This window comes from Homo sapiens, chromosome 13 (assembly GCF_000001405.40).
Source record: "Homo sapiens chromosome 13, GRCh38.p14 Primary Assembly".
Taxonomy (NCBI): Eukaryota; Metazoa; Chordata; class Mammalia; order Primates; family Hominidae; genus Homo; species Homo sapiens.
The window spans coordinates 97,314,532-97,337,956 of NC_000013.11; the positions used below are offsets into that span (position 1 = coordinate 97,314,532).

At 41.8% G+C, this 23,425-nt stretch overlaps 1 protein-coding gene across 55 annotated transcripts in view; it reads left to right on the plus strand.

Moving 5' to 3' along the window:
* Positions 1–23,425, plus strand: part of MBNL2 (muscleblind like splicing regulator 2) — a 252,287-nt gene that overhangs the window by 172,698 nt on the left and 56,164 nt on the right. For 49 of the 55 annotated variants that reach the window (NM_001382649.1, NM_001382675.1, NM_001382656.1 and 46 more), the window contains one exon: positions 19,745–19,909. The exons of 2 other annotated variants lie outside the window; for them this stretch is intronic. In NM_001382649.1, the coding sequence (NP_001369578.1) occupies positions 19,745–19,909 (165 nt within the window). Of the gene's footprint in view, positions 1–2,697; positions 2,756–19,744; positions 19,910–23,425 lie in introns of all 55 variants that reach the window. 4 more of the 55 variants (NM_001382690.1, NM_001382689.1, NM_001382692.1 and 1 more) reach the window with 1 other exon arrangement.

The window sequence follows — 23,425 nt, forward strand, 5'->3', positions numbered from 1 at the left end:
GCTACACAGAGTACCATACATTAAATATGCACCGAATAAATGAACACTTATTTATCACTCAATCATGCAATGAATGGATGAATGATTGAAAACTGGTAGTCAATGCTGTCCAAGAACATGACTCTTGGGAGACTCTTGCCATGCTATTTTTTCTTCTTTGAGATAATCCGCAGCTCAGGCACTGAGGTCAACAACTCTAATGTTCAAGATCTTCCAAGTAGGAGGGAGGAGGTTGGATAAACAGAGTTTGAGTAAATTTGCCCTTGGCTTTTGAGAGAGCTAAGTGAGAATCCTGGCTTTCCCACCTCCTAGCTCTGTGACCACTGATAAACTATTCAACTTAGGTCAAGCTGTTCAACTCTGGCCTTAGCTCACTCAATATGTAAAATAGAATGATATGAAATTCAGGGATTTATAAGAATCAGGGTTGAAAACATTGGGCATATAGTAATATACTCTTATTAAAATGAAATGTATTTTCATATATATAAATAATTTGTATTAATTTGTAGAAGTTTGCTTATTGATAAAGCAGACAGTCATATATTTATTGACATTTTCATTTTAGGGGACACACCATATCTATATTTAAAATAGTATTTTTTGTCTTACTGGAAAAAAAGCCTCCTATGTATACTTTGATTAAATTATCACATGTATTTCTGTTATTTAAGGATCCTAAAATGAAAACAAATAGCTTCTAAAGCAGTTAAAATAATTATCAAGGTATATTTGTTCACTCCAGATCTCATCCCACAAGGTTTACAAGAGTCTTGGCTTTTGAAATCTGTGTCTTCCAAAAATTCATTTGTTAAGCAAGCACTGAGCACTTGCTCTCTTCCAGGCACCGGGCTCTACATTACTGGCTATTCCCAATGGCAGGAAAGAGCTTCTGCTCATGAGAAACTTACAAGATAGGCCCAAGATGGGATCTGACATCAATACTGATATTGATAATGGTTAATAGCAGGCATTAGGGGTTAAGTGCTGCCCCAGAGGTGCAGATTGTTACAGACATGCAGAGAAGGGGAAAGATGCTTTCTCAAGGAAGCTTGGAAGTGGTCAGAGAGTCATTCATGTGAGGGAAGGTCAGGGGACCAAAATAGAGGAATGGAAACAGCTTGAGCAAACTCATAGACGAGGAAGGAAGGCATAAGTCTTTGGATTTTCCCAACTCCAACTGACCTCAGCATGAAAAGAAAGCAGGGCTTGGACTGGAAAGGAAGCTCACTCTCTGGCAATGTGGAAGGCCTTGCTCATGGGTGAGGATGTGGAAGGCCTTGCTCGTGGGTGAGGATGTGGAAGGCCTTACTCGTGGGTGAGGATGTGGAAGGCCTTGCTCGTGGGTGAGGCAGTTGGATGCGATTCAGGAAAGAATGGGGGTTCTCTGAGGGTTCAGTGGAGGAGAGAGATACACTCATGGCCATAACCAAGGGTTTGTTCTCAATTTCTTTCATACGCCAATGACTTCCAGACCACACCTCTCTCCTGGACTCTAGATTCCTGGACCCAACAGCCTGCTTGGCACCTCTCTTTCAATGTCTTATAGGCATCTCAAACACCACTCCTGCTATTTCCCCCACATTTGCTTGAGCCGTGCTTTCTGCACCTCGACTGATGACAAAAATCCCCTTCCAGGGGCTCAGGCCCAAAACCTTAGAATCATCCTGACTGGTCCCTTTTCCACTTCACATTCAGTGTGTCAGGAAATCCTATTGGCTCCACCTTCCTCCACTGCCAGCAGCCTGGTCTGAGCCACCGTCTTCTTCCCCTGGGTGACCACCACAGCCTAACTGGTCTCCTGATGCCACCTCTGGCCCCTTCGGTCCATTCTCACACAGTAGCCAGAGCCATCCTTCTAAAACACCAGTGAGATCACATCACTCCTCCCCTCAAAATTCCCATTTCCTTCAAAGAAGAAAACAAGTTCTTACAATGGCCTGCAAGACCCTACCTGGTCAAACCATGGTTGTTTCTCAGAACTCCTTTCCAGCTTGGCCCTGGCTCATGGAGTCCAGATTCTCCAGCCTCTTGGCTGACCCTCAGATGCACCAGGCATGCGTCCTCCCGAGCCCTTAGTGCTGGCTGTTCTCTCTGCCTGGGATATGCTTCATCTGGATACAGGCAGGACAACTCCCCACCTCCACAAAGTCTTTGCTGCTGAATTACTTTCTTAGTGGTAATGGCCCTGCCTATGTAACTAAAAAGGGCCACCCAACCCACCAGCACTCCCCATCCTACTTACCCACTTGTTCTTCCCCAAAGCCCTCAGCACGTTCTGCTGTGTAACTTGTGTATCATCTTTATTGCTTATTGTCTGTCTCCCCTAACTAGAAGCTAAGTTCTGTGTGGACAGGGCCATTTGTGAGTTTTGTTGTTGATATCCCATGTCCCTGGAACACTGCCTGGCCCAAGGTAGACTTGCAACATATGCCTGTGGAGTGAATGAAGGGGATAGTGCAGCAGAGGGTATAGGAAGTAGAGAAGGCATCTGTTGGCAGCACTGTCACACATCTGATGGCCTGGACCAGCCTGACAATGCCAGTGGGAACGGAAGGTGGCAGGGGATGCAGGAGACAGGGTGGGTATGTATCTAGGGCTGGGTAACTCAATGTGGGAGATGCCAAGCTTTGTGATGGATGATGCATCAATTGGGCTTCAGTCCCGTGTGGTCCTATAAGTGTCACTCTGTTCCAGGGCCGGGGATCATATGCTTTTCGCTGCTGAACTGTCTGTGGATCACAGAGGCAACCAGGTAAAACTGGGTGGATAAAATGAACAAAATATCAATCCTGTAAAAATAGCTCAGAACTGCGTACCCTCCCAGTGGACCCCACAGAGTGTCAAAGTATGACATGCTCAGGACAGGCACGTGTTTCATATTGGGGTCATCTGAAGGAGGTGGACAGTTCTCCCACCCTACTGTTCCTAGGGAAAATTCCCTCATCTGGGGCTTTAGTCTTTTGCCATAAGCAAAGCATTGATATGTGCCTAAAGTATGCATGCAGAACTCTTAAATGATAGTTTTATGTATGCATAATCCTTTTGGCTGTCTGAAATCCAGGTGCCTCATTTGCAGATTCTGAAAGCTTGTGATCTCCCTGTAACAGGGCAGTCCCAGAGGCTGTTAGTGGTGCCTTGTCTTGCCCTAATAGACGGAGATATGATGGCAGTGGCCTACTTTGGTTATTCACTTCAATTATTAGTTTGAAGTATTAAAAGCCAACCATATTTATAAAATATACTCGATCACTTTAATGGGATTTTGAAAACTGTATGATTTATGAAACATTACATAGATCCTTCTGGCTAATATTATACTTAAATATTACTTATTACCATGCTTTCTTCCCTTCCATTCATGTGTATATGCATTGCAGATTTATGTATGTAGAGTTTCTCAAAGATAAGAACAGTTTGCTTTTCATCTTTGTAGCCCCTTGGGCCTAGCACAGTACCAGACATAAAGTAGGAATCAATAATTTGTATTCAGAGAGTGTGGTGGTTCTGGAGCCAGGCTGAGTAGGTTCAAGTCTGGATCTTCCTCTTACTAGCTGTGTCACTTTAGACAAGTTATCTAACCTCTCTGTGCCTTGGTTTCCACATCTGCAAAATGGGCATAAAAATAAGACCTACCTGAAAGGCATATTGTGAACACTAAGGAGATCATTCCTGTAAAGCACTTAGAGGCATGCTTGGCACATTGTGAGAATTCGGCAAACATAATTAGTTTTTATAACCATATGAATGTGTGGAAGAAGTATAGTGATTAAGAGCAGTGGCTTTGGAGTCACACTGCCTGGGTTCAAATCCTGGTTCTGTATCTTGCTACTTGCACACCCTAGGACAAGATCATTCATCTCCTCAGGCCTCAGTTCTCTGTCTGTCAAATAGGGATATTAAGAGCACCTCCCCCTCTCAAATGTTTGTCTGAGATTTTGCATGTGAAACAGCACGGTGTCTAGCATGCATCTAATGAGTAAAAATAATAACAATGGTATTTGACTGCATTCAAAAGCTGTTACCAAGTATTATTACCATCTATGTAATTCCTTTTTAAAAAATAAAAAATTGGACTTCATAATAATGCATCAATTCAGTTTGTAAATACATTTGACTAGCAGTTTCTGGACTACCCAGAGCTTAAGTATCCAGCCAGCAGTGACAGATGAAGAACAGCTGGGGTTTGCTGAGGGAAAAGACTTCTTCCACAGTTTACAGGCAGGTCCTAAGAGAAAGAGGAAGTAATGTCATAGCTCACTAAGTTGGGCTGAATTTGACCAGAAGAGACCCCAGGGTCTGAAGTTAGTTCTGCCCACTGGGACACAGAGATGGAGATTTCAATGCTGTGAGCCTGGGTGTGTTGTCTCAAGGTCTCCGCCCTCTCTAGGTACGTACTGGAGAAACATGCAGCAGCAGGAATTCTGAGAAAAATTAGCAGGTATCTACTGAGGGTGGACCACAGTGAAGAAAAACCCTGGATGGGGACCCTCAGAAAGGGTGAGTGAGCAACAGCTGCACAGCAGGGGACACAGGACCCCAGCCTACAGGCAGGGTTTTCTGGAGGCAAAGGCAAAAGGCAGAGCTTCACTCTGGTAAGGAGCCTGGAGGGAGGCAGGTTCTCAGACCTTGAACTTGGAGGCAAAAAGAGAAGCCTGCGGGACCCTGTAGCATAAGACGTGGGACACCCGGCGGGTGTTAGGGCTTGAAACAGAGCAGCTGTCTAGTCAAAGCTAGGGCCATGAGTCAGCATCAGCTGGTGCAAAGATTCAGTGTCACTTGAGGATTGATTCTGGGGACTTGGGTCTCACTGGGGGAGTGCTGGCCAGGCGGGAGCTCTGGCAATGACCAAGGGCACTAAAGGCTGGGCCTGATGAGAAGGAATGAATAGGCAGGGTGGTCGTGAGGGTGATAGAAGACTCCAGCTGAATAGAGCAGGCCTCTCCCCTGTCCTCCTCCCTACCACTGTCCCTCTGTATGTCAAAGTGCCAGCGAAGATGACCCCACCCGTGTCACGGGTGAGACTCTGCCAATGCACATCTATCTAGCTTGTAAAAGCAACTCCAAATTAATTGCTGGCCACATTCACCCATTTTCTTTGACTTCCATCCTGCTAGACTGAATGATTTTCTTTCCCCTCCATGCAATTTTAATATCAAGGATGATTTTTATCAAGTCATTCTCTGTAATCAGAATACAAAAATTATCCCAACATTTCTCTTTGAAAATGGATCTTCAGAGACCCAGTAGCCCTTTATGCATTACTAATGAGTTCTTTAGTGAAACATTTTGTCTTTTACTAAAATAAATCTCTTCTATTAAATCTTCCGTGGGAAAAATCGGATGGCATTTAAGCTGACTAGTTTCACTGGTAGAAAATCATCGTACTTGTTAGGGATTTGGGGGTTGTTATAGTTTATTTTTGAGCAAATAGGGAGATCTCATTACCTAAGATCATGAAAAAAATTGAATACACATTCACAGAAACAACTCTTAGTGTTGGAGGAGACTGTAGTATTTTGCTGGTGTAACCGCCAATCTCAAGACAAAATACATTATCTAACATTTGTTAGAGGTGGCTGTGCTCGCTTCCCAAGGCTGCTATAACCAGTATCATAAACTGGATGGCTTAGAGCAACAGAAATTTATATTCTTACAGTTGTGGAGGCCAGAGGTCCAAAATCCAAGGGTCAAAGGCTATGCTCCCTCAGAAGATTCTCTGGAAGGGTCTTTTTTTTTTTTTTTTGAGACAGTCTCTCACTCTGTCACCCAGGCTGCAGTGCAATGGTGCGATCTCGGCTCACTGCAACCTCCGCCTCCCGGGTTCAAGAGATTCTGCCTCAGCCTCCCGAGTAGCTGGGACTACAGGTGTGTGTCACCATGCCCGGCTAATTTTTTGTATTTTTAGTAGAGCCGGGGTTTCACCATGTTAGCCAGGATGGTCTTGATCTCCGGACCTCATGATCCACCCACCTCAGGCTCCCAAAGTGCTGGAATTACAGGCGTGAGCCACTGCTCCCAGCCTGGAAGGGTCTATTTTAGACCTCTCTCACAGCTCTGATAGCCTCAGCCATTCCTTGGCTTAAAGATGGCCATCTTCGGCCACGCAGGGTGGCTCATGCCTATAATCCCAGCACTTTGGGAGGCCGAGGTGGGTGGATCACCTGAGATTAAGAGTTCGAGACCAGCCTGGCCAACATGGTAAAACCCCATCTCTATTAAAAATACAAAAAATTAGCCGGGCATGGTGGTGGGTGCCTGTAATCCCAGTTACTTGGGAGACTGAGGCAGGAGAATCGCTTGAACCCGGGAGGCGGAGGTTGCAGTGAGCCGAGATCGCACCACTGCACTCCAGCCTGGGCGACAGGATAAGACTCTGTCTTAAAAACAAAAAGATAGCCATATTTTCCCTGTGTCTCTTTCACATCGTCTTCCCTCTATGCATGGATCTCTGTGACTAAATTTTCTCTTTTTATAAGGACACCAGTCATACTGGATTAGAGTCCACCCTAATGTCCTCCCTGTAACTTGATTACATCTGTCAAGACCCTACTTCCAACTAGGATCCCATGCTGAGATTCTGTGGGTTAGGACTTCCACATGCAGGGAGACACAATTCAACATGGTCAACCAGGGCACTCTGGCCTTGTCACAGTATATTTATAATAAGATGTGATATTCAAAATATTTTACCATAAGTACCTCCCAGATGGGCAGCAGCCAATCAGAGTGCACCACAGCTAGTCCCGGAAACCCCCTGCTGTGTGGGTTTAACTCTTTGATTGCTGGGGTCCAGGAGGGGAAGATGCTGGGACTGTGGAAGAGGCACTGGAGTGGCCAGAGAAGCAGGGAAAACACTTGACATTTAACAGGCTTGGGACAGTGTCTGTTTTCTACTATCCACTGTCACCTCCATCGAGTGCATTATCATGCAAAGTCACTCATTCTGTTTTAAACAAATCTCACATATTGAGCCAAAAATCTGTAACCCCATAGTGTCTCCCATGGACCACAGCAGGCGATGGAGAAGGCACGTGTTTTGGTGAGGGAAGAGCAGTATTTAGCCCTGGTTGACTTTAACAACATGACCTGGAAATTACCTTAAATCTCTCTGAGCCTCATTTCCTTACCTTTAAATTGGGGTAACAGAAAACAAGAATATTGTGAAGGTCTAATAAGACAGGGTGTGAAGAATGCTTTTTAAGGTGTGATATAGAAGTTCCATCGTGAGTTTCTTAAAAGCAGCTCTGGGTAGTGCTGACGGCACAGAGTCCCAGGCCAGCCAGCTTGACTGACTGCACAGATCTGCCACTTACTTACTAGCTGTATGCCCATGGAAAGTTATCTCCCCCTCTCTGTGCCTCTGTTTCATCCCATAAAATGGGATTATTAACATTACCTCTGCTAAGAGCTTGTAGTGAAGACTAAATGGGTATGATCTCTAAGAAGCACTTAGAAACTGCCTGGTAGATGATATGTACAACGTTATATAAGTCTCTGCTATTTTTATCGAGGGCAGGGCCACAGCTTACAGTCCTGTGTGCAATTCCTTCCCAGTTTCTGGCATAGAGCAGATGCTCCAAAACTGTCAGATGAGTAAAGGAGGAGGCACACCGCTTCCACCCTCAGGAGGTGCAGGATAAAGCCCACACCTCTTCCCTGTACCTCTGCTCTGCATAGCCTTCCCCAGCCGGTGCATAAATGCCCACGCCATGGTGCAAGCTGCCATGCCCTCCATCTTCCCAGGCTGTTTTTTCTGAAAAAAGTGCAGCTTCCCCCTGCTGCAGTCCAGGACTGCAATGCAGGTCTTTCCTGAGACATCAAGTACAGAAAGTCCCTGGCTTATAATGGTTCAATTTACGATTTTTGACTTTAGAACAGTTCAAAAGCAATATGCATTCAGCACACTCCTGGACTCATGATGGGGTTACATCAGAAAAACCCATTGTAAATTGAATATGTCATAAGTTGAAAATGCATTTTCAACATATACTATTTTCCATTAACCATGGGTTTATCAGAACTTGAGTCTATGGTAAGGCAAGAAGCATCTGAAATCCAAAACCGCCTAAGAGGAATGTTCTTTTCCTGTGTTGCTGAAAACGAAGGAACTCTTAATAGGATGCTCTATTTTTCCCATCTTCTTCCAGTGTTTCTTAACCTAGTCTTCCTTCCCCTCCAGCCCACCCCTTCCCTATTCCTGTCTCCATAGGCACACAACCCTTCTCCCACTTCTTCCCGGAAGCATTCCCAACTCCGACACCAGCAACCAAGGCACTCTGGCCTTGTCATAGTATATTTATAATAAGATGTGATATTCAAAATATTTTACCATAAGTAACCTCCCAGATGGGCAGCAGCCAATCAGTGTGCACCACAGCTAGTCTCAGAAACCCCCTGCTGTGTGGGCTTAACTCTTTGATTGCTGGGGTCCAGGAGGGGAAGATGCTGGGACTCTGGAGGAGGCACTGGAGTGGCCAGAGAAGCAGGGAAAACACTTGACACTAAACAGGCTTGGGACAGTGTCTGTTTTCTACCTGAGATGGAAGTCATTTCCAGTGTTTAAGTAAAATGGCACAGCTGTGCAGGAACACACCCACAAAATGTCGGCCTTTAATACATGTGTCCAAATTCCAGGCAGCCTTCTGTGGGGGTAGGTGATTCACCATATAGTATTGCAATCAGTTTGAAAAAGGCTGTAACAGAAGATGCATAATAAGGTTTTGTATCTTTGGACAGATTTCACTTATTTCAAAAATTGACTAGCTTCTGGAATTGCTAAGGACTGATGATAATAAAAATAGAACCCAACATTTACTAAACATTCAGTTGGCCCTCAGTATTCGTGGATTCAACCAACTATGGATTGAAAATACTAGTTAAAAATTGCGTCTGTACTGAACATGGTCAGACTTTTGTCTTGGCATTATTCCCTAAACAGTAAAGTATAACAGCTATTTACATTAGCATTCACTTTGTATTAGGTGTTATAAGTAATCTAGAGATGATTTAAAGTATATAGGAAGATGTGTATAGGTTATATGCAAATACTAGGCCGTTGTATATCAGGGACTTGAGCATCCTGAATTTTGGTATCTGTGGGAGGTCCTGGAACCAGTTCCCCATGGAAACTGTGGGATACAGATGTCATGTGATGGTGTTTATAAGGCTTCAGGAAGTAAACCCCCATAGAGTGGTTGTCAATTACTCTGGCTTCTTTTAATTCTCTAAATGGCTAGCTCTAATTAAAAAAAAAATTTTGTGGGTACATAGTAGGTGTATATACTTATGGGGTGCATGAGATGTGTTGATACAGACATGCAATGTGAAATAAGCACATCATGGAGAATGGGGTACCCCTTCTCTCAAGCATTTATCCTTTGAGTTACAAACAATCCAATTATATTCTTTAAGTTATTTAAAAATATACCATTAAGTTATTGTTGACTATAGTCACCCTATTATGCTGTCAAATAGTAGGTCTTATTCATTCTTTCTGTTTTTCTTGTACCCATTAACCATCCCCACCTCCTCGCTCCAAATGGCCAACTCTAACTCCCACCTTCCTCCCCACTCTCAACTAGATAATCTGATAAATATCTTAGCTTAAATGTTAAATGTCCCATCCTCTGGAGTCATCCCTGACCTCTAAACTAAGGAGAGCTCCCTGCAATGCATTCACACCGCCTATCATGGCATTGATCACTCTATTTTAATTGTCATTTTAATATCACAGGGCTTGGCACATGGAAGGGGTTCAATACATATTTGTTGAAGGAAGGAAGGAAGATCACTGGATAACATGCACCCGTCGTATGAGGTTTCCTGTACGGTTGGGGTTTGAGGAGAAGTTCGGGAAGTAGACAGAAAAGGCCTGCCCTCCCTAGCAGGAGAAATTCCAAGGCTCAGATAAAAATGTTTCATGGGATTTCTATTCACCCATGGGGCTGCAGACATTAATGAATGTGGTATCAAAAAATCTAGACTCTATGAAGTCAAACAGCCACTAGATTGGTATATTTGTCAGTGTTCTCTAAAAAACAGAACTAATAGGATAGATGTATATATGAAGGGGAGTTTATTGGGAGAATCGACTCACACGATCACAAGGTGAAGTCCTGCACTAAGCTGTCTACCAGCTGAGGAGCTAGGAAGCCAGTCCAAGTCCCAAAACCTCAAAAGTAGGGAAACCAACAGTGCAGCCTTCAGTCTGTGGCCAAAGGTCCGAGAGCCCCTGGCAAACCACTGGTGTAAGTCTAAGAGTCCAAAAACCAAAGAACTTGGAGTCCGATGTTCGAGGGAAGGAAGCATCCTGCATGGGAGAAACATGAAGGCCAGAAGACTCAGCAGGTTGTTCATTCCACATCCTTCTGCCTGCTTTTTTCTAGCCTTGCTGGCAGCCGATTAGATGGTGCCCACCCAGATTGAGGGTGGGTCTGCCTCTCCCAGTCCACTGACTCAAATGTTAATGTTTGGCAACACTCTCTCAGACACACCTAGGAACAATACTTTGCATCCTTCAATCCAATCAAGTTGACACTCAATATTAACATCACAACTGGTTTCATGTAAGGTTGATATATGATTATGGTCCACACTAACCAAACTACCCCCGTGACTCAGAAGACATTGATATTCTCATTAAATAAAATAATTTCCAAATGAAGCATCTGGTGCCTGGAAATTTGTTTCCCTGAATCTCTAAAGAACTGATGGGCTATTTTTAGTCTCACTGATTTCTCTTAACTGGCACATTTTCAGTTAATGAATAAAATTAAGAGAATTAACAATCCTTATCGGTAAGAGGGGTTTCTCCCTTCATCAAGCCAACAAACAGCTCTCCCCATCACAAGACACAAGTAGTATGAGAAATTGGAACTGCCCAGCCAACCAAAATGCATTTAAAATTTTTTTAAAGACTGGGTGCAGTGGCTCACGCCTGTAATCCCCGCACTTTGGGAGGGCAAAGTGGGAGGATTGCTTGAACCAAGGAGTTTGAGACCAGCCTGGGCAACACAGTGCGAACCAGACTCTACAAAAATAAAAAAATTAGACTGGCATGGTGGTAAGCACCTGTAGTCCCAGCTACTTGGGAGGCTGACGTAGGAGAATTGCTTGAGCCCAGGAGGTCGAGACTGCAGTGAGCTATGATTGTGCCACTGCACTCCAGCCTGGGTGACAGAGTGAGACCCTGTTTCAAAAATAAAAATAAAAAATTTTTAAAAGGCTTAAACATGCTATGAAATGGCAAACTACAAACAATTCACCTACTTTGCCTTTCTTCCTCATTTACTAGTTGTTATGCTTTGTTTATTTAAAATAGTCACAAAATTAATGTCAGGGGCCAGTGCCAGTGGTGCTTGAAAGAAGAGGGCAGTTGCATTGGCCTAATAAGGAATGAGTCACAAATCTACTCCCAAAGCACCTGTGGTGGCCTGAAGGTTTTTCCCAGCCCTCAGGTGATAGCAAGCTATCCTAAATGCAAATCCAGAGATGAGAACACTCAGATTTGCAACTCCCTTGAAGAAAGGTAAAAGCACTATCATTAGAGAAGAGCTCTGCCCCATAGTCCAGGTGATGCAGTGGAATGATGCTCTACACCTATTTGTATGGGTTTTTGGAAAGAAAATGCAAACTGATTTGGTCCACTTACCTATGTAACTTCATTCCCACTTTTCTTTATCCTCTCCTAAACCCGTAGCAATTGGTGGTGGTGGGTAAAATTGGAGGTAGTAGTGACTGTCTACCACTATTTGTGTTTTTCCCTCATTTATCCACCAGGCTACACTGCCAAATATTCCTTATATCATTCTAGGCATTTCTTCCATATAATGGAAGCAACAGAGAAAAAGAACACACCAGAGAAGAAATGTAAATACACCATTTTTATCTGTCATTAATAAGTACAAAATGTTGTGGTATTCACCAAAAATTATTTGCATATCTAGACTGTTAAGGATAAATTGTAATATATGTTGAACCAAATAATAAACAGAAAGAGCTTATTAGAGGCTTATGCATAATCTTGATGATACTGGTAATTATTCATGTTGATAGACATTCTGGTTATCATTTGTTTATAATGATCCCCTGAATCTAAAGTTACTTTCTAATTCTGAAGCCGTTATGTGATTGCATTTTATTTGCTATATTAGGTAGTTGGAACTAATAATACAAGGAGCTCATGTGGTTCAATTAGCTTATTTAAATTCAAAAGAAGCCCAAAAGCCTAATCTGTCACTTGCCTTAGAGTAGAGCTATTTCAGTCTCATAGTTAATGTCATAAATTAAGCCTTGATGTAAATAACCATTTTATTCCCCTACACTTTTACTTGCCCATATCCTTCTGGAAATGTACTGGGAGGAAGAAGAGGAGGTTCAGGCCAAATGTTAGACTCAGCCTTGGCCTATGTGACTGAGACCTGTATAAATGGACTAATAAGAATCGGCTCACCCACTCTAACCACAGCCTTTATTGCTTCCCCACTTTCAAAGACCTTGAGAGCTTTTGAAACTATGGGGAAACTGAGGCTGGGAACATCTGATACACCCAGTCAGCTTAGTCACTTAGTAAATAACTGCTGAACAACTTACGTGGCACAAGGACGAAAACAGAGGTCTGTTTGATCGAAATTTTCACTTCCAAGCTGTGTACACTGTGGGTACTTAATAAATCCTCCTAGACTTAATTGATTTTGACTTAATTCACCACTTCTGCTGAATCTCCTCAAACCTCATCACGTAGACGTCTCATAATTCTCAGAACATACCTGGACCATTGCCAACATACATCCCTGGTGTCACTTTTTACTGTAACTGTTGTTTCATGTGGCTTTCCCCTTTTACTAGATTAGGAGCATTCAAGGAGAAAATAGATCTGGAAAAAATATAGATAACAATTTACGTTTCTTCCTGAGCAACTCCTGCTCTAACAACTGTCAGAAGGAGTTGAGATATAGGAACAGGATCACCCCTATTTGACAGATGAGAAAATTGAGGCACAGGCACAGACTATTATACGTTATTTGTAAAAAAAAAAAAAAAAAAAAAAAGTTCATATAACCATTTTGGAATGAAGCCACAGCCAGAATTTTGGGATTTTCCAACCACAATACATAGCTGCTTTACACTCTAGATAAGTCATGCCATGTTGATTAGCCCTGGCAAGTTTCAGCAGGGGAGATATCAAAGAAAAACAGATCTGAGGCTGTTTGAAGAGATAAATGACCAAAGTTGGCACTGACAGAATGAGAATAGCAAAGGTTTAAAGAGATTGGTAGACAGGCCAGAGAGGAGCACAGTGATAAGGAAATGGAGCAGGTATTAGAGAAGTTGTTTTCAATACCATATATTTTTACCTACTATGAAAAGAAAGTGTCAATAGTAATAGTGATGATGATGATGATTATGATGATGATGAAGCTTAGGGAATGCCTACTATGTGCCAGGAACTGTTAAAACACTTTATATGCATTAACTCTTAATCCTTATTGAAAGTCCGTGAGGCAGAAACTATTCTTAGCCCCATTTCACAGATATGGCAGCTGGAAGCCACAAGGTCCCACTTGCCCAAGGTGCCCAAGAACAGCAGCGCTGCATTTTAAATCCAATTAGTCCAGTTCTGAGACGGTTTCCTTAACCCTTTTTTTTTTTTTTTTTTTTTTACACTGCTTCTCCAGGAGAGGTTGCAAGACAAAACAGGCTTCTGAAATGTAACTCCAGAGCAAGAGCCTTTGTCTTGACCTCGGGATTTCACCAAGCTGGCCTCAGCCATGTGGAATGCGAGGAATTTCAGAGGCTCTTCCATGATTTTCCCTGGCCAGCTTTGGGGTCTAAAGCAGGCTCCAGGACTCAAAGTGTCCCTGAAGGCTGCGTCTAAAGCACATGCCATCTGCCCTTAAACCTTAGGGCCAGCACTTGCCGTTCCGCGGCCTGGCCTGCTTGCTTGAAAATATCATCATGCACCTACAGCAGCAAGTGCTGCCAAGGTGGCACTGAAAGAGGCAAAATTCAGAAAATCAGGTTGGGATTCCAGCCCTTCGCTAGAATCGTTTTCCCCAAGAAAAGTGTTGCTGGAGTCTGCCGGTCAATGACTCAGCCCATGTAAAGACACAGTTCAAATTATTCCAGCGGAATACAAATGGCGGGGGCCTGTTAACTGAATTGTAGATCGTAGAAATCCATTGCTTTTCCCATGAAAAACTAATGGGATGCAGTTGTCTGACAGCTATTCCTATGGGCAAAAACTATTGTTAATGGGAGAGTCTTTAATAGTCTTCTATGTTTTCTTTTTTGTGCCCATATTTTAATTGATTTTTTTTCAATTAGGAGCATACTAGAAAAAGATTCCAAAAATTACTTGTTTTAAAATAAGCCATTAGGAAATCTCATCCTTCAATTATGCTTTTTCTTTCTCACAGCAGCCTGATTCTGAAGTCTTTTCTTAGCCAAAGTTGCATTTATTCTATCCCATGCCATGTAATTTAATGGCTATGTAATTCCAATAGCACCAATCTGTTGTTCTGTCAAGTACATATTACAGTTATTTAGCATCTTCCTTCCTCCTGTCGAGAATCAACATGAGTATTCTGTATTAGAATCTTTCATGGTTGCTGATTTTAATAAAATTAATTCAGCTTGAGGTTCGAACTTGATTCTAGCCATCATCCCTAATCTAAATATTCCTGGAGTACAGATTATTCTTGGAAGTAGAAACTGCACAAATCCAATGTCGACTCCATCAGAATTCTGTTATTGTTTTTAAAGAGGTGGTCTCCAAACAATATAAACTATAATAAAATTAGAAATATGAAATATAATAATCAGGGTGCGATTTAAATGTAGCATAAAGCATAAATCTGATCTTGTTATTCTCCTGCTTAAAAACTTTCAACAGCAGGAACTTCATACCCCTTGGCTCGTCTCCCATTGTGTGGCTTCTTCCTGCTTCACCTCTTCTCACTCCTCATGCTCCTCCCCACACCCCTTCTCTGCACTGGCCTTAGAGAGCTGCGTGCCTGCCCCTAGATGGGACATTCTCCTGGCACACGCTGCTCCTCTAAAGAACATTCAACACCCACAACACACACACACACTAGACACACAACACACACACAATACACACACATGCAGCACACATACAACATACACAACACACACAATACACACACATGCAGCACACATACAACATACACAACATACAACACATACACCATACATACTACACACACAGCACACACACAACAGGAAACACACAATACATATAATACATACAACATACATGCATACACATGCAACACACACACACACACACACACTTTGACCACCACACACTCCCTTGCCAAGTTCCTACTCATTTTTCAGGTCTCAGTTTAAATGTCACTTCTCCAGAGATCTCCTCTGACCCCTGGTCTCAATTCTGACCCTCTCCCACCATTCCTTCTCAGCATTCTTCTCTAGAATATGTATCACAACTTGTAACAAGACATGTTTTGTTAACATCTGTCTTCCCCACAAGACTGCAGGCTTCATGAAGGGAGACACCATGTCTTGATTTTCCTCACCTTTGTTTAACTAGCACTAAGCACAATGCCTGGCACATAGTAGAATCTCAAGAAATATTTGTTGAATGAAAGAATGAATGAGATCGTAGCCTGGAAGTATATGACCACCTGCTGGTTCCATACCTGGCATGTCCCACGTGGGATGAGCAAAGGCCCTGAGGGCTTATGTGACCCATGAGCTGGTCCCTGGTGTGAGCCCACCTTACTGGCCCTAGCTGAGGCTCCTAGCTCCCAGTTCCTGGGAGGCTCTTCACAAGCACTCTGCAATGGCGCTCTCCATCCCCATCTCCGTCTCCACCCCACAGAAGCTGCACCAGTCCCTGCCACTAGGCACTGGACCCTCCCTCCCTTATCTCTCCAGAAATAGTGTGTTACCAAGAACTAAAAGGGAGGAAGAGTTAAAACAAAACAAAGCAAAAAACAAATCCTAGCTGCCACAAGGAAGATTTTTCCCAGACATTTTTGTCTTTATTTCTTGGAATAAAATCAGAAGACACTATTTTTGACACCTCTGTTTTGTTTCACAATGATACACAAAGACGCTTTACGCTTCTGCACACTGCCCTGTACCATTTGGCTATGACAAGTTGCTTTGATAACCAACAGCTTTTGTACACTGATGCATATCCTGGCAAATCTTATGCCTTAACAAAAACTTCCTTACAAATTGTTCACTGTGTCAAATAGCTTGTTTTATTTTGACAATAGCTTATCCATTAGGATTTTACAATCCTATAGGATCCATTACTAAAATTCTGTTACGTAGAGTCTCCGAGGGTTTGAATTAGTGTGCCTCAGACATCCGTGGTGCATAATTCTTCAAAATATTAATACTAGATTGTACTAGGGTTCAGGGTTGTCTCTTAAAATGTGGACACTTACACAAATACCCTGTAGAGTTGAAAATAATTTTAAACATAAAATATTTGAATAAGTACAATTAAGTAGCTTTTAACATGTTTGGTGTGAAAGTTTATTCTGTGGAAGAATCAAAGAGCCAGTCAAAATACTACTAAATGTATGATTCTGTACTTACTGAAAATGAAATATCATATAGAAACATTTATCTTTCTTTTGATAATAACATTTACTCAGTGCTTACTATGTGCTAGGCATTTTTCTAAGCCTTATGCATGTGTTAACTCATTTAATCACACAACAGTCCTGAGAAGAAGATACAATAATTATTTCATTGAACGGATGAAGAAAAAAGTCAAGTAATTGCTCAAAGTCATGCAGCTAAGAAAAGGTCGAGCCAAGTTATGAGACCAGAATCTGTGAGCTTGATTACTCCTCCATCCTCCTACCAACGGATAGGTCCATGCAAATAATTGTTTCCCATTCCCAAATCCCTATATATACATATCTTATTATATTTAAAATTTTGTTATGCATCCCATTATTATACGAAAGATCATCATAGATTTTTATCCTCCCTGGATTTTAACTATTGCTAATGAATAGCTTGGCAGCGTGATGTAATTGGGTCAGGTAGGTCTGGATTTAAAATCTAGTTCTACCACTTACCAGTTATATATGGCCTTGGGAAAGTTTCTTTATCTTCTGAGCCCATCTGCTATTTTGTAAAAATAGGGATCATTACTGCTGTTATAAGGAGAAAATGAGATGACCATATATAAATTGCTTGGCATGTAGGTGATCAATAACATTCTTTACTCCAAGTATGTAAGTAAGGACACTAGGAAATTACAGCAATTCTCACAAAAAAGAAGGTTTCATTGATAAACTACTAATTCAATGTTGTAAAATACTTTCTATTAGCTGAAATAGCTTATATGGTTCCCTATGAGTCCCAGTTTTATCAAGAGATAAGAGCATTTATAAGAAAATTGTATTTTTCCAGCCAAATTGAAATGTGTGTGTGCAGCCACAAAGCATTACATTAAAAAACTAGTGATCAAATTGACAAGTATATGAGTGAATACAATATAACAGCCATACTGGTAGAAATGTGGACATTTCATTAATTCCATCCTCATTTTCTGGAATTCTGCTTTCCCAAGTCTCTCCATTAGACCCATCTGTGCACCTTGAATACATGAGCCTTTCTGGGTGTCAGCTTCCAAGAGCAGTGTTTGTGGCTAAAGAGAGTTTGGAATGAGGTTAGAGAAACCTGGGGTGGCTTATCCTCTAAACAAGAAATGCATTCTGTATAACCCTCCTCCACCCCAGCTGATGGGCTGTGGCTATGTTTTGATCCTCATGGATACCTCACATCACAAATGATAGAATTGTATTTGGCCACCTGATATAAAGGCAGCCAATTCAAAGACTTTGCACACATGAACTTTGTAGGAGCTGGCTCAATCTGAATGCTCTCTTGGAGATTTGATTTTAACAAACAAAGAGACAAGCAATTGTCAAGGAAGAAAAGGAAGTAAAGTAAGAGATGCCTGAAGCAAGTTGACAGGGCTGGAGGGACCCTGGCAAGTCATAAAGCAAAGAGATTTAGGATTAAAAATTTTAAAAAGATTCAGTTTGCAAGAGAAGCAGATGAAGAGAGAAAAGAGAGATTCGTATACTACTTTGATTTAGATTAGTGTCCACTTCACCTCTGTCTTTACAATAGACTTTCCAATATTTTCCCTGGAATGTCCATGTATACATAGGAAGCTGAATGAAACATCAACAATATGAACTTGAGACTAAGGAGACATGTTGGCATTACCCATTGTTATAGACTCTTATTAACAGCAAACAAGGACCTATTCCCTTTGGTGTCCTTGGCACCTGCCTGGTTATCCTCCCCAAAGAGGGTGACGCAACTATTAACGCTGCTAACAGTAGATCCTCAGGACAGCATTTGTTGATTAGCACAGATGCCCGGGACTGAACACAGGGCCCATGTCTGCCCTTCTCCATGGTGGTGGGGGAAGATTCAAACTCCAGAGAGGAAGTCTGAGCTGCCAAAAGTGCGGATGAAATTAGTGGGAAGCAGAGTGAGAACTCCAGATGTTTAGAATTAGGATGACTATAAACAAATTCATTTCCCCAGATCCCCCAAGCTTGCTTTTTAAAATTATTTTTATATCTGGTAAACAAATCAATACTCTCTTTTCTTGGCTGCAAATGGACTAATTCTTTAGGGAAGTATGATACTCAAACTGGTTCACAGTTTGCTCTTCTTTCTCCAGAAATTGTATAATTCACACATCAATGTAATTCTTTCAATTGGTAGTTTTGAAAACTTGGGGATGAAGTATAAACACCGCCATATGCAATTACCCTTCCAGACTGGTTTTATGTACCCTGTCACCTAATTATTATTTTCCTTTGTTTTACCAGCTTTGGCTTCCAAATATTACTTTAGCCATAAACACTCTTCACTATGTCACATCATGACATCAGATTTGATACTCCTGTCATGGGAGGAACTCCTGTCATGAGGGCAAGGCAGGTATATAGAGTGACAGCTTTTGTGTAGCAAAGTAATCACTTGCAGATGATTATCTGAGCTCAAGCCTGAGAATTTCATCTATGTGTATATCACCAAGAAATGTCCACCCCTGCACACTATTGCCTCTTCATCCATAAGCTGAAAGAAAGAATGTCTTCAGCTAATCTGGAACACACATTTAAAATTCTTATTACTCTCTACTCCACAAATTTGTTACATAATTATTCATATTTGGACATCACTCTAGCATGTACAGACAACTGTATAGCAAGTTCAAAGACTCCTTCTGATAGCCCACAATAGATATGCCCTTCTGATTACCTTCCATACTGTGTAGGGGAAGGACCTTTCCTTTCTCTCAGCAGTCACACTTCTTTGGAATCTTTTGTCAGGGTTTAGAATCTGAAAGGAAGAAAGGAAAGAAAGAAAGAAAAGAAAGAAAGAAGGAAGGAAGGAAGGGAGGGAGGGAGGGAGGGAAAGAAAGAGAAAGAGAGAAAGAGAGAGAGGGAGGGAGGGAGGGAAAAATCCTCAGGAAGCTTCTCTACTTAACATGTTCTTAAGATTAGCAACCTTGATAATCATGTAATGTTTGATTCACTTTTCCCCAACAAACACATGAGCATGCGCGCGCACACCCACACACACACACACACACACACACACAGGATCCTTGCTTTTGTGCATAAGAAGTGATTGTTCAGTGGTTGACTTTGGAGTTGCAAGCTACTTAAAATAGTCCTAAAACCAACACTTGTTTTTACAGGGCCGTTGTTCGAGAGAGAACTGCAAGTATCTTCACCCTCCGACACACTTAAAAACTCAACTAGAAATTAATGGAAGGAACAATTTGATTCAGCAAAAAACTGCAGCAGCAATGCTTGCCCAGCAGATGCAATTTATGTTTCCAGGAACACCACTTCATCCAGTGGTGAGTACATCTTTATTCAGTGATGAGTTGGATGGTTACAGTGTTGGTATGGATGATGCCACGTTGACCTAGGGTGGCCTCTCTCCACTTTGTCACTTTGGTTACAATTAAAGCAAATAGCTTTAAAGCTCAATAGATGAAGGAAAATAGGCTTTTAAAAAAATTAATAGAAAAATATTTGTGGAAATAGGAGGCAAAGACAATTTCTAATCAATATCTGGGAAATCTGTATCACTCCAACTCTTTTCACCAGTAACTCTCTATCTCAGCCATCTTAGAACGGAAATAGTTTTAACATGTTCATTTACAGTGTGAATTAATAATCTATGTATCAATGAGTTTGTGATGCCTAAAAATATTTTGAGCCATGTAGTTCTATGGCACCATTTAAAGGATGAGGAAATTGAGAAACCAGAGAAGTTCAATGATTTTCCGCAATGTCATGCAGCTAATAAATCTTGGAGCTGGGACTTAACTCAGACATGTTAGCAGAGCGCTTTCTGCAGTGTGTTCCAGGAAGATCCTAGTAACAGCCCCCAAAGAAGGATGTCAAATGCAGCAACACCAAGGAAGACCCTACCTGAGTGACTTAGGTCTCAACCTGCCTTTCAGAGGCCTGCAAAAGCTGTGACAGTTCTGACCATTGTCACAAGACCAAATGCCGGAGGGACTTAGCATATAAATATGTATTGCACAAGATTTTTTTCCCTGATTTCACCCTGTCTGAAAGTACTTCCTTAAAGGTCTGGAAATTGTTTTAGGAATGATATCCTTGGGGAAAAGGAGTGCATTTAATTTTAGTAGGTTTCATTTACATTTGTGAATTATTTGTCAGAAACAAGCTCTTTTTTTTTTTTTTAAAGAAAGGCAGTGAGTGAAATGTGTTTGTTTCTAAAAAGTATGTGCACAAAAGGCTTTTGTATAAAAATCCCTTTATTGTAGGAAAAGTCTGCATGACTGAAACCTACTAAATTAGGAGGGATGGCTACCAGCAAATTTGATTTTCTTGTTGTGTTCCCTGTGAGATGGGGTGTGGAGGGCAGGGCCTGCCCAAAGGAGAGTAGAGAATTCCGGCAGGTTGTCAGCCATTCTGCTTGTCTCCAGGCTTCTGTACAGAGTAGCCAGGAACCAGCTCTGCCCAGAGTAAAAGAAATGCCAGGTGCAGAGGGCTCCAAGATAAATAAGATACAGTGTTTTGGGGATAGACAGACACAAGAAAAGGGCAAAGTAAGATTCAAGCACAGGAAATGACGAGACTGGACAAGGAAAGCCTGCCTGGAGGAAGTCTCAAATAAGCCTCTTGTAAAGGGTGAGTAAGAATTCGCCCAGATTAAGGACTAGACGCAGATAGAGTTCTGAATATATTTAATCCCCAAAATAGGCATTTAAGTGGTTCTGTTTAAACTACACACATGTATAATTTATGGTTCTCTCTTTATTGATGCTCACATATAAACTATTTTATTAAATTACCTAAATGCTAAAATAATTTAGTTATACATATTAAATAATGTCTATAGCAATAAATTTAGAGCCAGCAAAGTCAACATAATACCACCACATTATGTGTCTCACTTATTTGACTCATACACATCCTATCTATTTAGAATTAATAAAGACTGACCCTGGTACTCACTGGTGGCCGTGTTAACGAGAGAATCCCATCCCTGCTGTTAACTATTAGTTGAACTTTTTTTGAAAGTTATGGTTATTATTGTCTCAAATATTAATTAGAAGCTCATAATCACCATTTCTCTATGAAAAATGAATATTACACTTAAATATTTTAATAGAGGTTTTTAAATCACTGGAAGTATTAGAATAAAAACTGTGACATGTTTAAAAATTACCAACTCTACAAACAAATTAATTCAGTCTCAGAAATGAATTAGTGACCTAGTAGAGTATACGTGGCTGAATAATGGCTCTCGGAGGTACCTGGAACCTATAAATGTCACCTTATAAGGAATCAGGGGCTTGACAGATGGGATTAAATTAAGAATCTTGAGATGGGGAGACCCTCCTGGATTGAATGCAGTTGCAAGCGTCCTTATAAGAGACGCTCATATAAGAGAGAGGGAGAGTTAGCACTGACAGAAGAGGAGCAAGGCAGTGTGACCACAGAGGCAGATTGGATTGATGTGGCCACAGCAGAGGAATGCCAGCAACCACCAGAAGATGGAAGAGTCAAGAAATGGATTCTCCCCTAGAGCCTCTGGAGGGAGGGCAGTCCTACCAACACCTTGATTTTGGCCCAGTGAAACCGATTTGGAACTTCTGGCCTCCAGGACTATAAAGGGATAAATGTGTGTTATTCTAAGCCAATGGGTTTATAGTAATTTATAGCTGTTTACAGCAGTTACCGGAAACTAATAGATGCAAAAACTGCATAAGACAAGTCAATTGATAAAGAGAGTCAAGTATCATTCCATTTTAGGTCTCATAAACTAAACTTCTTTACAGTACTGTGGATATTTCTTCATTCCCTCCTTCTTCTGTCCACTCCTGAACCCATTCCCCTGCAGTCTCTCACCAGTGTCCTCCATATTACCAAACCAACGGTCACTTTTTGCCTTTATTGTTGCTGTGGTCTGAATGTTTGTGTCCCACCAAAATTCACGTTGAGTCCTAACCTCTAAGGGCCTATGGGGAGGCGACTAGATCCTGAGGGTGGAGCCCTCATGAATGGAATCAGTGCCCTTATAAGAAAAGACATGGGAGAGACCCCTCACCCTCCTGCCATGTGCGGACACAGCAAGAAGGCACTGTCTATGAACCAGGGAGCTGGTCCTCATCAGACATCAAATCTGCGGGCACCTTGATTTGGGGGGTTCCAGCTTCCAAAACTGTGAGAAATTCAATTCAGTTGTTTGTAAGCCACCCAGCTTATGATATTTTATTATAAGCAGCCAGAATGGACTAAGACAATTTCTTCTACCTCTCAGCGGTGCTCAAGTCATGTGATGAATCTCTCCTTTGTTAAACACTCCTTCCTCCGTCTCCTTTGCCCACCATTTTCCTCTTCCATATGTTGAGGTTCCAAGAGCTGGATATTTCTTTCCATCTGTCCTCTCCCTTGTGGTCTCATCCATTCCTGTGTCTGTCAATCATCTATAGACTGAGGACCCCCAAAAGTATGCATCCAGCCCAACCTCTCCTCTGAGCCCCAGGCTCACATATCCACCTTTCTACTGGCCTCACCTTTAAATTTCTTAAAGGAACTTGACCCGTTCAAAATCAAATTCTTCCCATTTTAATAAATGGTACTATCAACTGGCAATCGAAAACCAAAACCTAGCAGACTCTTTCCTGAAATCACTGGAAGTATTAGAATAAAAATTGTGACATGTTTAAAAATTATCAACTCTAGAAACAAATTAATTCAGTCTCAGAAATGAATCAGTGACCTAGTAGAGTATAGGTGGCTCACTGACATCCAGTTCAACAGCAAGTCCTGTCATATCTGCCCTGAACCCCATCCACTCCCCTGTTTCTCAGCTCCCTCATCTAAGCCAC